General features: G+C 33.6%; 1 protein-coding gene across 3 annotated transcripts in view; it reads right to left on the reverse strand.

Annotated features, from left to right (window-relative positions):
- CPNE8 (copine 8) overlaps nucleotides 1-15024 on the reverse strand; it is a 254633-nt gene that overhangs the window by 16954 nt on the left and 222655 nt on the right. For 2 of the 3 annotated variants that reach the window (XM_017018852.2, NM_153634.3), the window contains exons 17-19: nucleotides 8296-8398; nucleotides 6561-6618; nucleotides 1573-1646 (exon numbers count right to left, since the gene is read on the reverse strand). In XM_017018852.2, coding sequence (XP_016874341.1) covers nucleotides 1573-1646; nucleotides 6561-6618; nucleotides 8296-8398 — 235 coding nt within the window. Of the gene's footprint in view, nucleotides 1-1572; nucleotides 1647-6560; nucleotides 6619-8295; nucleotides 8399-10421; nucleotides 10559-15024 lie in introns of those variants that run through there. The other variant, XR_245896.5, reaches the window with a different exon arrangement.

Consider the following 15024-nt stretch of genomic DNA (forward strand, 5'->3'; position numbering starts at 1 on the left):
ATGTGAGTGTGATTTTTACTGTATCAAGTACTTTAGGTTGAAAAGCTTACATCATATTCAATTATCTTTTTAAAAAAACTATTTTACAGAAGTTTTTATTTTAAAATTTAATTTTGCTGACTAATGAAGAATAATTATTTTTGATCTTTATCAATGTTACTCTTTATATTATCATACTAACAGATTACTTTATATTATTACTTCCTCAAATTATTTCAAGTATTATTTGTTGTTCTTTTGTCTAAGAGTTCTATTTCAGGAATATATTTTATATGCATTATCTCACTTAATCTTCACAATTCTATTTATCCCCCAAAACACTGAAATCTATAAAGCTTATCCAAGTTATCATAGTGGAAAAGTCAGAATTTGAACCAAATTCTATATGATCCCTGATAGAGCAGGAGCACAGTCACCTTGGGCAAACACGGCCACTTTAAGTTCCAGCTCCCTTTCTAGCCTCATGCATTTTAAGGAAATTACTTCTCTTCTGACTACAAGCAGCCACAAAGAGCAGACAGTAAAACACAGATAAGACAGCTTGAGCACAGAGGGAGGTGGGAGGGAAAGTCTCTTAGGCAACTGCCAAACTTTACCCTTATACATGGGGCCCAGTAAAACAGTGGGCCTTGGTAAGCATATTCCTTTCCCTTCATGTGTGCTAAGATAGGGAAGCTAAAAGCAGACTCGGGGGATATGCCTGCAGTTGCAGAAAGATGTATGGGAACAGACACACAACTCTCCCTCCCAGGTAAGCACAACAAAGAGACACAGAAGCAGTACAAGCCTCTGATAAACTCTCCCACTCAGAATCCTTAAAAACTCGTGGCCTGTAAGAGAGTGCAGTTTCTGATCTAATTCAGTCAAAAGTCCCTCCCAGGTTTGAAAACCTGTTGACTGTCGAGCCACCCTTTGTGTTTCTCTCCTCTTTCTTTAATTCTTACAATCACAAATTATTTTCTATTAATGACTGTATTATGGGTGAATATATATGTTACTATTTAGGAAATAATATTAAAGTTCATTGTTTGCTCCCTTAAAATTTTGATACCATGTGCTTAAATGGTACTGAGACCTTCTTCCTTTTCCTATCCAAAAAGATATACTTCACAGCTTTTTTTCTGACATCCTAAAAATATGGAAATTTTATGCAACTATTAAGTTGAATTAACGCCTTGCTTTCAATTATAATTTGAACTACATTTAATTACTGGTTGTTTATATTCACTTCCAGAGTAATACGCTTTACTTAAGTATTTTTCTTAATTCTAGCCTTTTCTATATGTAGATGTAATTTTTTAATATATGACATATTTTAGGATCTATTTCTCTATTTTTTCTAACCATAATGTATGAGGGAAGCATGAAAATACATACAAAGTTTTTGGTATATTTTTACTAAATTTATTCACTCTGAGTATCTACCAGATTAAAATATATTTAGTTTTTGTTGAGACTAACAAATAGAAAAGCATCATTAAAAAGTCTGTTATATTTCTAGCTTCTAATTTTGTTAAAGATCCCAATGATATTTTCTAGCAATAGTAAAGTAGGAAAAGGTTTATTTCTTACCTGCACAATGTCTCTTTCAGCATATTTTCCTCTAGAGGAGACTCTTACATCATCTCCATCCAATTCGACCATTGCTTTAAGAGAAAATATGATCATTTATTCAGTACATTTTAGCCAAATACTAAAACAATGTGGACAACAAGGAAATCAAGATGTATGAAGTAGCAAAATGTGCTATGAAAAGACAGAAAGCATGTTGATCCCTTCATGTCTTCATTCATTTCTCATACAAAACTTGATTAAGTGTGCATTTTACAGACAAAGAAAGTGAACCAAGATCTTTTGTGACTCTTTGAAAGGTGAGCAGAGCCAGTCTCTGGGTCTATCTCTTTGTAGACCCTGTGAAACTGTCTCTGGGTCTATCATCTCTCCATTCTACCAGTTCTAAACTTCGGGTTATATGGTTGCATGACTGATTGAGCAAGTGATGTTAATCCATCAAATTTTAATTTTTCTTTCTAATTTAAGAAGCTTGGCCTTAATCATCATAGAATTTTCAATTACAAGTTGAACTTTATTTTCATTGAAACTACAGCAAAGCCATACACATACACACACACACGCATACACACACACTGCCTGATTTTTACTTTACAAATAGATTTAACAACAGAGGCATTTTCTCTGCTCTTATACTGATTGGATAAAGTATGATTTTTCTGAAGTACAATTTTTTTGTTGATTAAGAAATAATTTTGACATTTCCTAGATCAGCTGGTATTTGGAAATGCTGGGATATAATGGGACAGCTGGTGATACAGTAATGCAGTGCTGCAATTAAGAACATTTTCTAGGGTTTATTAAGTTTTCAGTGAGAATTCTCTAAATAATTAATTACATGAGGAATGCTAATTTGTGCTTAAAGTATAATTCTATTACTGATAATTCATTTTGTATACACATGACATTCACCAGACTCCAGAGAGCCGCTTACAATTATAATTTTGGCCTCATCACCCATCTCCCTGGCCCCAATACTGCTCAGTCAGCATACAATCCTCACTTCTTTACTCTTTTCTTCAGTGCTTAGATAATGCATTTGGGTTGAAAACATTGTTTTCAATTTTACCTTTCTACACATGTTCATGAGTCAATGCTTGGGCTGAAACGCTGCTAGTATACATAATTAACAGAGAGCTACTGTTCAATAATTTGTCAAGGTGTACAATATATATCATAATTATGTAAAATCTGTATATTACCAATAATAAGATAATTATCCCAATGCAGAAGACATTTTTTAATCTCCCTTACTTCTTGGATATGTAAATATAACTCATTATGTTCAAATACTTTCAGTAAATAATACTTTTTATATCTAAATTTGCTTTTACAATTTTCACATTACTTTGGGACATAAATATGCACCAATGGTAACACTCAGTGGTCACAAACACTTCTCCATTATTCTCTAATATGTTAATAATTTACAACAATTACCCTATACACATGCTAAAATGGGAAACAAGAATTAGATGATAATCTAGGTCTCACTTTCCACAGTCTTCTACAATCCCCATTGGTCTTTGTGTTTCATTCCAATTAATGAAGAAAAGGACAGTCATTTAGGCAATACTGTATTAGCATGAAGTCCTATAAAATATCTCCCACTTTTCAGCATGTCTGGTTTAAAACACTGTAGACAGCAAGAAGTGGAGGCTGTGCTTTTGAGAGCAAGAAGAGAGATGGTGTGTAAGTGGTGGAGGGGTCAGGTCTACTCTTCAGGTGTGCAGACCATCTGGTCCTCAAGCAGGTGGAGATTATGAACCCCAGTCTCCCACCATTACCTCTTCCTGGAAAGGTGTATGAGACAGATTTGCATTTCTTTCTAGCCATGGGAGACACAATGAAGTTAGAAACCCTTTTATTTATCCCCTTCGTCTAACTCGAATCAAAGCAGATAGCCAGATGCTGCTTTAATTTGACTTTTTGGCTGCCTTTTAAGTATAAAGAAATCTTGCTTTGAGAAATCTTTCTTTATAATAAAGGTTCTTTTTTAGTACTGAAAAAGAGTCACTGGGGAAATTTATGTAGATAGTTTTAAAATGGTCTTATCAAAATACAGAGTTAAATTTAAATAATCTAATAGTCTATTCTTATTTCCTGTACCTTCAAAGGACAGATGGCAACATATTGTATTTCTTGCCCATGGAAACAATGTCTTTCAGGTTAAAAAATGTGTAGATGTTGGCTTTATGTGGTTAGCTGATGAAATCTGTGATATGGTTTGGCTCTGTGTCCCCACCCAAATCTCATCTAAAATTGTAATTCCCATGTGTTGAGGGAGGGACCTGTAATCCCCACATGTAGAGGGAGGGAAGTGACTGGATTATGGGGGTGGTTCCCCCATGCTGTTCTCGTGATAGTGAGTGAATTCTCACAAGATCTTATGGTTTTATAAATGGCCCTCTTTCCTGCCCTCTCACATGCTCTCTCTCTCTCCTGCCACCATGTAGGATATGACTGTTTCCCCTTCCACCATGATTCTAAGTTTTCTGAGGCCTTCCCAGCCATGTGGAACTGTGAGTCAATTAGACCTCTTTCCTTTATAAATTACCCAGTCTCATTTCTTTATAGCAGTGTGAAAACAGACTAATACAATTTGCCAGTTGGATTTAGGTCAGTCAGTTCATATGTGTGATATATACACTTACTCTAGAGTAGATTTGGAAGTGTCATGAGAGGCTCCTCTGATAGGAGAGCAACAATTTGACTAGTCAGAGATTTTTCTATATTAAACATGAGTTTAATATAGAAATTTTTTTTAAGCCATGAAGAGATGTGTTTTGAAAGGAAAAAAGGAAAAATATTTTAGAGAAGCACCTGTTGTCGCCTAGCAGAATAATCTACTTTTCTAGTACTGGGCCCAGAAGTTTTTCTATCCCATTAGAACTTCCATCATGGTGAAAACAGAAACCAGGTGTTACAGGAGCCTAATTCCCTGTTCCCATGTTTCCAGAGGAAAATTTCACTCTAACTTCTGGGAAGGCAACTTCCCTTTTCATCTACAATCTTCATTTACCTTTCTGCATGGAAAGAGGAATAGGATTACTAAGATTAGGAGAAATAACTGAGCTTGAATCACTCTCATTTGGAGCAGCACTATCCTGAGGATAAGTATAATTTCTCTCGGTGGCATGCTTAATAGGCAAAACTCCGCCTCTATAAGGAGAAGTCCTGGAGATAAGAATGAGATAATTTAATTTTGGAGGGAAAAAGTAATGGGAATGTGATTGTCCACAGGTTAACCCAAGTTCTCAAATTCTGCATTGCTAGTAATAAAGCTGATAGAGTGATCCGAATGATTCTTGCATATATTTTTTTCCAGTTAGTTCAGGACCTCACAGAGAGAAAATGATGAATTATCATACCTTAAAACCCTAACAAATTTGCTGGGAACTAAAGAAACGAAGAAAATAAATAGCTGTGGCTATTGGATAAGGGCAGTAGCAAAACGGCTGTGCCTGCTGCTCTGTATAGAAATGTGTTACCAGAAATATATGCCAGGAAGGGTCAGTGGCTTTGCATTTATGAATCAGGTGTGGGAGCTCTCAAAGAAAAAGAACTGATTGAGGTTTACCATCTCTGAGGTCATATGCCTAAAGGTGGACTTCCATAGGAGTCTGAGAGACCTGAGATATACCCATGAAAGATACATCCTTCAAAGTCAAAAGCAAATAGTAGCCAAAGAAGAAAGCATGAGTTATTTTAGCCTACCAATTGGTGAAGTTTGTGAATCACAGTCTATCACTAGTTAATGCAGATTATCAAGTGTGCAAAGCATGGAGAGGAAAGATGTCTTAGCCTTCCTGTCTCCAGAGAGGTATCTGAAATTCATGCCCGAAGTACAACTCAAGTAGATGCTAATAGAGATAGAGAAAATAACAGGAGAAGCAGTGTTGGTGAGGGATAAATGACTTGCTTTTGAAACTGTAAGATTATCATGCTAGAAAGGATGACCAGCCAAGATTAGAATTTAGGGATTCCAGGGTCAGCAATACAACTTGCCTGTGGTGCTTTACCTGAGACTGACAGCTCTTTATTATTCTCATGCAGGAGGGACTGGTGGTTAAATAAGAATCACCTCAGTGATAATTACAATCTAGTTAGCCACCTATGTGCTTAAGTTAACCAGTAACTTACAAAGATTGTGTCAAACATTCTAAAACCATTCTCATTTCCAAAGCCTCAAGCTAAATAAGCTGCCATTGTTAATATAAAACACCTGAACCAGGTGAATATTATGTGGCTGTGTACTTGCTGTCTAGCACAAAGTTCTCTTAAAGGAATTTATCAGATGACTACGAACATTTACCCAGATCACTCGTTACACAAACATTTGTCTCTTAATGGGCATTTGAACAAGCCTTGAGCCTGAATGAAAAACTACCCAGTATGCCAATTTAGCATAATTATATAAAGTCTCATTAAATTTCAGCTGGTCAGCTCCATTTTCATTTTACTTTTCTCTTTCATATGACACAACTTCTTTATTTATAAGGCTAATGTCTATCAACTAGCTAGAGCCCGAAAACCCATTAAATTAGCATATTATGCTTATGTTAACATTTCTTTTCACAACCTAATGATTTATTAATTTAGCACTCATCCTTAAAGGGTTTTAGTGAACACAGAGTGTGTTTTGCCTTGGGAACAAAAACTCAATTTATCACTCTGTCAGTCTTAGGAGATATTATTTTGAGGTACAAACTACCTCTAATGAAATAGAAAGCTACATGTTGAAATAATCTATAAACTAGAGAGATAATATCCTAGTGAAAAGACAGGATCTTTTAATTGGCACACCTGAATAGACATCATCATGAGCTATCTATGTATATGTCTAATTATGGACACATGAACATTATATACAAACCCAAATACACAGTCACATCCTTCTAAAGAGACAAGAATGGCAGAAACCCAAGAGCATGTTACATTAGATTAAATGAACTCCCAAGGAATATTATTGAAATTTTACTACTCACCATCAAATTCTGCTGGTCCAACACCTACTATAATTATTGACATTGGAAGTTTTGAGGCCTTCAAAGAGAATATACAATTAGGTTTCAATTAAGAAATTGAGTTCTTAAGAAAATAATTAAAGGCCAGGCATGATATCTCACTCTTGAAATCCCAGCACTGTGGGAGGCCAAAGAAGGAGGATTGCTTGAGGCCAGGAGTTTGAGAACAGCCTGGGCAACATAGTGAGACCCCATCTACACCAAAAAATAATTAGCCAGGTGTGGTGGTGTGTGCCTGAAGTCCTAGCTACTTGGGAGTCTGAGGTGGAGGGATCACCTGGGCCTAGGAATTTGAGGCTGCAGTGAGCTATGATCGTGCCACTGCACTCCAGCCTGGGCAACAGGGTGAGAGCCTGTCTAAAAAAAAAAAAAAATTAAAAAAGAAAAAATAATAATTAAGAAGCAAATATAACCAGAGTTTTATTTAATATTTTTTCACAGATGTTCATTAAAATAATTTGTGAGCATATTCAAAATTGTTAATACAGAATAATATACTTGATTCCATTCTTATCCTTTCCAAACTCTCTGCACACATTAATCCAGTGGGACATTCTTCGGAAATGACCAGCCCTGGGTAAGATCAAATAGAAGGTAAGGAGCATCTACTTCCACTTTCTACTCTCAGACAAAACCTTTCTAAGCTGACTTTGGGTATCTTTTTCCTCTTTTCATGTTCTTTCTCCTCCAAAAATATTTCAGTTGCTAAAGGGGGAAAGTGGTAACAGATTCATAAAATAGTAGTAGTACCATAATCTACCTCATTTATACCCAAGGTTAGAAAAAGCAATTTTCACAGTAAATGAGTGAATACAAATGATCATTACAGAAAGTTAGTACTGTTATGCACTAAATATCCTTGAGATTTTGAGGGAGACTAAATATTTCATGTTATAACATGTTTTTTCCATATAATATATCACATATCATCACTTAAATAATTTAATAGTAAGAATGTGAGATTGATCCAGCAATAGATAGATGGAACACTAGAGCAATCACATCTTTCGCTATGAAGATCACTGAAATATGACTGATTATTCCTCAGGGCATCATGTCTTCTTAGTTAAACCTAAATTACCAAGTCCATATTTTAAAGTGCATATTAATGCCACTCATTCCTGCAGCCTGTATTTATCAAATGTCTACTTCGTGCCAAACATTGCTAAACCTAGAGACTTTACAAATTACCATCTAGTAAACATAGATTTTATAGATTAGTAAACAATCAAATAACCCTAAAAAAAAAACATACAATTAGGAATTATAATGAGCAGGATGGTTTTTTAATCAATCAGTCACTATCCAGTTCTACAGAAATAGCAATTAGCTATCATAGTTCTCCTCTAACTGGAATGTAAATGTTAAGAAATAACCAGTATAAATCACAAGATTGTACACAAATACATCAAACTAATAGAGGTTAACAAACCCATGCCTGTGAAAATTATGCTATTATCTTTTTTTTTCTTTAGGCAAAAATTTTTTTTAACTAAAATAATTAATATCCCTTAGCTTGATCCCCCTGGATCAGTGGTACAGATGTATATGAGTTGTCTGGATAAGGTTAAGGATGCAATCTGCTGCAAAGGTGTGGTGATTTTATTTTATTGTTAACTAGAATAGACTCTAGTCTCTCTCTAAGTAGCACCATGTTGTCACGTAGCGAGCCCAATACGGAGTGACCCCCACTTACATTAACTATGGACTCCTTAGTCTGGGCCATATCTGAGATAACACCATCTGTAACAATCAGAAGCACAAAATACTGGGAGCCATCCTTTACAGAAGAAGCATATCTGAAAGGCAACGAAAAGGTAAGGAAAGTAAAACAGTTTTCTATATGTGATGGTTGGTAAATACAATTTGGAATAGTTAACAAACATTTTAATCTCAATAAAATATTTGAACATGTTAGAGGTATATCTTATGCAAACTTTCAAATACACAATTATCTGAAATAACACACTAGAACAATTGCAATGTTAGTGCATGCTGGCACACAGAAATATCTAGTTGCCTAAAAGTTCATTTACTAATACAAAGTGTGCTAGATGAGTGACTATTTAGTACAAAGAAATGGACATAGCTTTTGGAAATGGACTTATCCTGACTAAGCAACACATTATGTAAGTGATCTTCAGTAAATTACCTAAGCTATGTGAAAGTTATTTTCTTAGCTTTAAAACTGAGACAATAACACTTACATCTTTATACTGCTGCATGAATTAATGAAGAATTGCATGTATGGTACTCAATATAAGCATTGTATAAATGATAGCAATAATCATAAGTGCTTTTGGTTTTTGAACTACATAGAGGTAATGGTTGCAACATTACAAATTTACTAAATGTCATTGAATGGTATACGTTTAAATGGTGAATTTTATTATGAAAATTTCACCTCAATAAAATTACACAATAGAAGAAATATTTTTGACACATCCACAGTCAAGTCTTAATATATGTTAAATCTATGAAAGATGAGACGGAGAGTTATTTCAAAGCACAAAATTATGTATATGATAACATATCAAATAATACTCAGTAATTTAGAGGGGAATTTTATGAATATGTTACATTTCATTACATTTCTCTTTTCCTTTAGTTTTCTACATTCTAGATATCTAGATTATATTCTCAATAGAGATAATTTTTACGATTTTTTGCAATTCATGTCCAGTGCTAAGTAAGCATTCTGGTTCTCTTAGGAGATAGGATAGTAAAGAAGATCTTGATCTGTATTTCTAAAAGTTATCAAGTAAAAATTCCCTTACAACCTGAAGGATTAATGAAAATTCCTTTACAATCTTAAGGAGCCCAATGAATCCCATTTGAACAAGTTGGTGACAAACAAATAGTATAAAACGTATGTCAGGGCACAACTTATTTCTTGAGTAGCAGAATTTAAAAACATATAAAGAAGAAAAATACTTACAACTTTCCCCATGGACTATAGATAATAAGATTTGTCCATGCTACTAATAAAATACTGGTAATTTTAAAGATTGTTAAAGTAAATATAGTAAGTGGCATGCTCAATCACACCCTGTAAGCAGGATGTTGAACAGGTTCCACAATGTACTATAGAATTAAAAATATCCCCATAATACTGAACAATTGATTCTGGACATTAAAGAATATGTATTAATTTAGTAGTAACACAACCAGTGGAAAACAATCCAAAGCGGTTATAAACCTATTCTCCTATTCCACGTTTAACTTTTTTTGTTTTAAAGAAAAGAAGTCTAACAATTTCCCCCAGGATCTCAATTTTTAATTTTTAAATATCCATTATTTTTTAAGAAAGCATTTCTTACTATGATTCAGAAAGATAGGGTTTTATATTTCATGAGAATAATGAAAGACTCTAAATAGTAGTGAAAACCTTCTTAAGTACAACAGTATAGCTTTTATGCTTTTCTTACCAAATGGTACTCTCAAAATGTAAAATATCTACCAGATTAAAAAACAATACAGACAGCTGACTACTATGCAGTCATATAAAATACTGCTTCCAGTGGCTTAACTGATTTTCTTTGGATATACCAGAATGTATACCTAAGAAAAGGAGAAGAATATATTCACACTATAAGAGAGTTATAGATACAGCCTAAAGCAGATCATAGTAAACTTGGAATTTCGCTGAAGTTTGTTTTATCTTAAAAATTCATAGAAATTTTATACTTTATGATAAATACATGCTTGTATTAATATTTTATATCTCTTCACTTTGAAAACCATTAAAGCTGTAGAAAGTTGCATGAGTTTATTGTGTGACTGTCACTACTGCTAGGCATATGTAATTTGAAAATCAATTACATTTTACTTTTAAGTTCTGTCCAATCCATTTTAGTCTTTATCACCTTCGGCACCACAAATTAATCTTTTAAAACCAGTTGTTGCTTCTTTGGCACTTGTTCTACACGTTGGCACATTGTTGCACTTTGAAAGTAAATCTAAATTTCAAACAAAATCAATGTTGTATTACCATTTATTCTACTTAGCCTTTTATTTTAAAGTATTATCATTTCTTCTCATTTAGTTATTTTAAAAATATTATATATTTAAGATAAAATAATTAACATGCTACAGAAATGGATGAAGTAAAAATTATAAGCTGGCCACACCTCAATACTTTTTCTAGGAGGTGACACTGATATATAGACTCACAGATTCAAATTATATTTTAAAGGTATTAGAGAAGCTTGCTTCTTAAAAGAACTTGATGGGGAATCCTTTTATAAATTGCATAATTAAGTCTTATTACTAAAAGCCAGCTGTCTTTTTTGAAATATAGCCTATCTATAATTTATATCTTAATATTACTATGATATATCTGAAAGAGAGGTTAACTTTGTCAGGGCAGTACAATTCAAACACATTTCTTTTGCATTTCTTTGAAATAAGTTTCTGGGATTATTTCTATAAAAGTTCATATCTGGTTGGCTCAGATTCGTGGAATATTCTTTCAGCTTATTATTAGTTCACAAGAATAGAGAGGGCAAGAATATAAGATAAGAAACTGACTTAGGGATGTTTTATTTAAGTAGTTCAATTATGATTTGCAAAATGGATTAAAACTTCTTAACAATGAATAAAGGAATACATTAAAATATTTCAACACAAAGTAGCAGAGCAAATTTTATGTTACTAAGTGTCACCCCAAACTACTTTTGACTGGGCAATGAAGTGATCACTGTATCCACATAGATAGGTAGCTTTGTTGCATTTTCTTTTGTGTGACTTTACCTCTGTAGCAGAGATAAAAAGGCTTAAAGATGTAAGGCATCAAAATATAGTGATTTGGAGTCAGATTATTCCAGTTTGAATTTTAGCTCTACCACAAATGATCACTCTATGTATCTATTTTATCATCAGCAAAATGGAAATGACACTACTGTCACCTCTTAGAGTTGTTGTGAAGATGAATAGATAATCCATATTATAGCACTGAACATGTTGTTAGAGATAGATCATGGGCTCCATAAGAACAGTTTTTATTTTATTATTGATTGTAAGATTGAATAAATAAAGCATAATACATTATTTAATTTGAAAATTAGTTATAAGAATTCCAAAATAAAAAGTTATTTCCTAAAAAATGAAAATTCATTTTGGATAGTTATCTGGATTTTAGAAGGTTCTCAATATCAGAAAAAAACAGAAAAAAATTACAAATAGCCAAAAGATAGAAACTGATAGATCCCCCTTAAAATTGAAATGTGACAGCCTCAAAACAAGTAACTCATTAGGCACAGGAAACAAAAGACTAATAGGAAATAATGAATATATTTAAATCGAGTGAAGAAATTTTCATAATAGTCTGAAAAGATACTTGAAATTTTCATTAGTATATTAGTTTATTTTTGAAATATTAAGCTGGTATAATATACCAACAAATTAAATTTATTTCAAATTACTTAAAATTATTGATGAAGAATTCTAGATGAATAGAAATTTTTTTTAAATGATAAGAACAGGAATGTAAAGATGGTTTACACCATATACAAGAGGAAACAGATTAATCAGGGGATGCTTAAAACTCCATTTTATTCAAACTGCATTCCACAAAAACCATTATTTTAAAAATATTTTTCTTTCTATTGTGATTAATAAGATTTAAACATAGTATTTTAGACATTCAACATAGTATTAAGTTCATATCTGCAAGAACCTAAAATTATTTCTCAGAATTTAAATTTGTTGTCAATTTACAACATAATGGCAATATATTTCTTTGTTTTAGTAGGTAGGATGATGATGCTTATGTGTCAACTAGACTATAAATCCCACTTATTTAATCAAAGATTATAGATATGGTTAACACCTACCATCAAATGACTTTAAGTAAAGGAGCTTCATCCAATTAGTTGAAGGCTTTAAGAGCAAAAACTGGTTTCCCAGAAAAAAAGGAATACTCACGTAAGGCTGCAGTATGAAATCCTACCTGAGTTTCCAATCTACCAACCTGTCCTACAAATTACATTCTTGCTATCCCTTACAATTACATGAGCCAATTCCTTAAAATATATCTCTATATTTTATCTATGTCCATGTCTATATGTCTCCTGTTGGTTCTGTTCTCTGGAGAACCCTGACTGATACAGTAGGTGTTAATCACAATCACATTTCCATAGGTCATTAAGATTGGCTAAGCATTATCATTTAAAAGAGTATTTAGGCTGGGCCCAGTGGCTCATGCCAGTAATCCCAGCACTTTGGGAGGCTGAGGCGGGTGGATCACTTAAGCCAGGAGTTGGAGACCAGCCTGGCCAACAAGGCGAAACCCCGTCTCTTCTAAAGATACAAAAATTAGCCAGGTGTGGTGGCACATACCAGTATTCCCAGCTACTCGGGAGGCTGAGGCACAAGAATTGCTTGAACCTGGGAGGTGGAGTTTGCAATGAGCTGACATCGCATCACTACACTCCAGCCTGAGTGACAGAGAGAGATTCTGTCTCAAAACCAAAAAGGTTCTTTAGTTTCCTATTATAACTTTGTTAATTAAAATGAACTCAGCCAGGCGTGGTGGCTTACGCCTATAATCCCAGCACTTTGGGAGGCCAAGGCGGGCGGATCGCCTGAGGTCAAGAGTTTGTGACCAGACTGGCCAACATGGCAAAATCCTGTCTCTACTAAATATACAAAAATTAGCCAGGCATGGTGGCGGGTACCTATAATCCCAGCTACTTGGGAGGCTGAGGCAGGAGAATTGCTTGAACCTGGGAAGCAGAGGTTGCAGTGAGCCGAGATCATCCCACTGCACTCCAGCCTGGGCGACAGAGCAAACAAACAAAACCTCATGTGGTATTCAGATAATTTAATTAAACAAATGGGTACAGATATCTCAGTATATCCAAAGTACTGTGGCTTTTATTTTTATATGTATATATGTGCATGTATATGAATGTCACAATGAATAATTCCTCCCTTCAATGTGGAAAAGATCTACATGTAACCACAGAGTAGTATCAAATTAGTAATAGACACATGCATGGAATGATATCATAGACCAGAAGAAGCAGAGATTCTCTGTGACTGAAGTGCAGTACATTTGAGAGAATGTGGAAATGAGGTTGGATGGGTGAGTGCTGGTTGAATACTGGATGTTCTTGAATGCCAAGCTAAACCGTCTGCACTTAAATTTATGACAAGGCATCAACAGATGTTGAGTAGGATTTTACATCATTTGAAATGCTGTTCCCCAGAGAGCACTGGAAAAGGAGGACTGGAAAGGCAAGAAATCAGAAGCAGGGGCTGGAAAGCCTCAAAAAAAAGCATATAAAACCTTCAAATTTTATAAATTTGATGCTTTGAGTCTTGTCTATTTTACAATATTGTTACCTCATTAATATTACCTAAAAAGTCAAACAGATCAGAGATACATAGATATGAATCCTAAAAATAAACGTGCTTAAAATTGTTATTCTTAAAAAGAGTAAGCATTCTTTAAAATGCTTCTAGAAAATGACAATAAATACTGAGCTTTTACCCACATAGAAAATATACTTAAGGAAAATAATATCAAGCCAATATAAAAAGTATGAATATATATTTGTTTTGACATTGCTAAAAATAATTTTTAATGATAATATATTAACATATACAGAATTTGTGTTTTAGACATTTGTTGAATACTTACCTCCTACATAATAGGTATGATGCTAAGTACTGTTGATAAGCTTTTAAGAGTTATATAAAGCAAGAATTTTACATAAATGGAGGTCACACACACTATAACTATGGCGCTTCTCTTAATAGAGAAAAAAATAGTACCTCGTCTGCTTAGTTGTTAAACTTTTTGAATGATAATTTTGGGTCAGACAGAAATTGTCTGTCTCAATACAAGCTTAAAAATACAATTAAACATAAAATTCAAAGATGAAAGGATAAAAGCATTTCTTTTGTGGTCTTATACTAAGAAATGTATACATGGAACTTCCTATATTGTATTGGAAGGAAAAGATGACTCTTAAATAGCCATCTCTTACTGTTTTTCTTAATTTTCTCATGTAAAAAATAATAAAGAATTATTAGATCATAGTTTATTTTCAAGGAGTCTGAAAGCTTTCACTAGCAGGTGCTCCTATATTCAAGAACTTACAAAATGATAGATAAAACAAAAAATCGCAATAGAACACTGTGGAGCCTTTGATTTTAAATGTATATAGAAATGCACCTAGATATTTTATATCTATCACTTTAACTTTTACTATAAATATATACCAGAAAAAATTATGAAATTACTTGGTAAGCATTGATGAACACATTTCTAATAACCAGCATGAGTTCATACAAAAGAATTCTTGTCATTTTTCTCTTATCTTTTTATAAAAAAGTGATCTGCAGGGTAGTGTGGCCATCAATTATAATTTATCTTGCATTAGCATGGTATTATATTCTGCTTTATTTGACTGCCATC

Source organism: Homo sapiens, chromosome 12 (genome assembly GCF_000001405.40).
Source record: "Homo sapiens chromosome 12, GRCh38.p14 Primary Assembly".
NCBI lineage: Eukaryota > Metazoa > Chordata > Mammalia > Primates > Hominidae > Homo > Homo sapiens.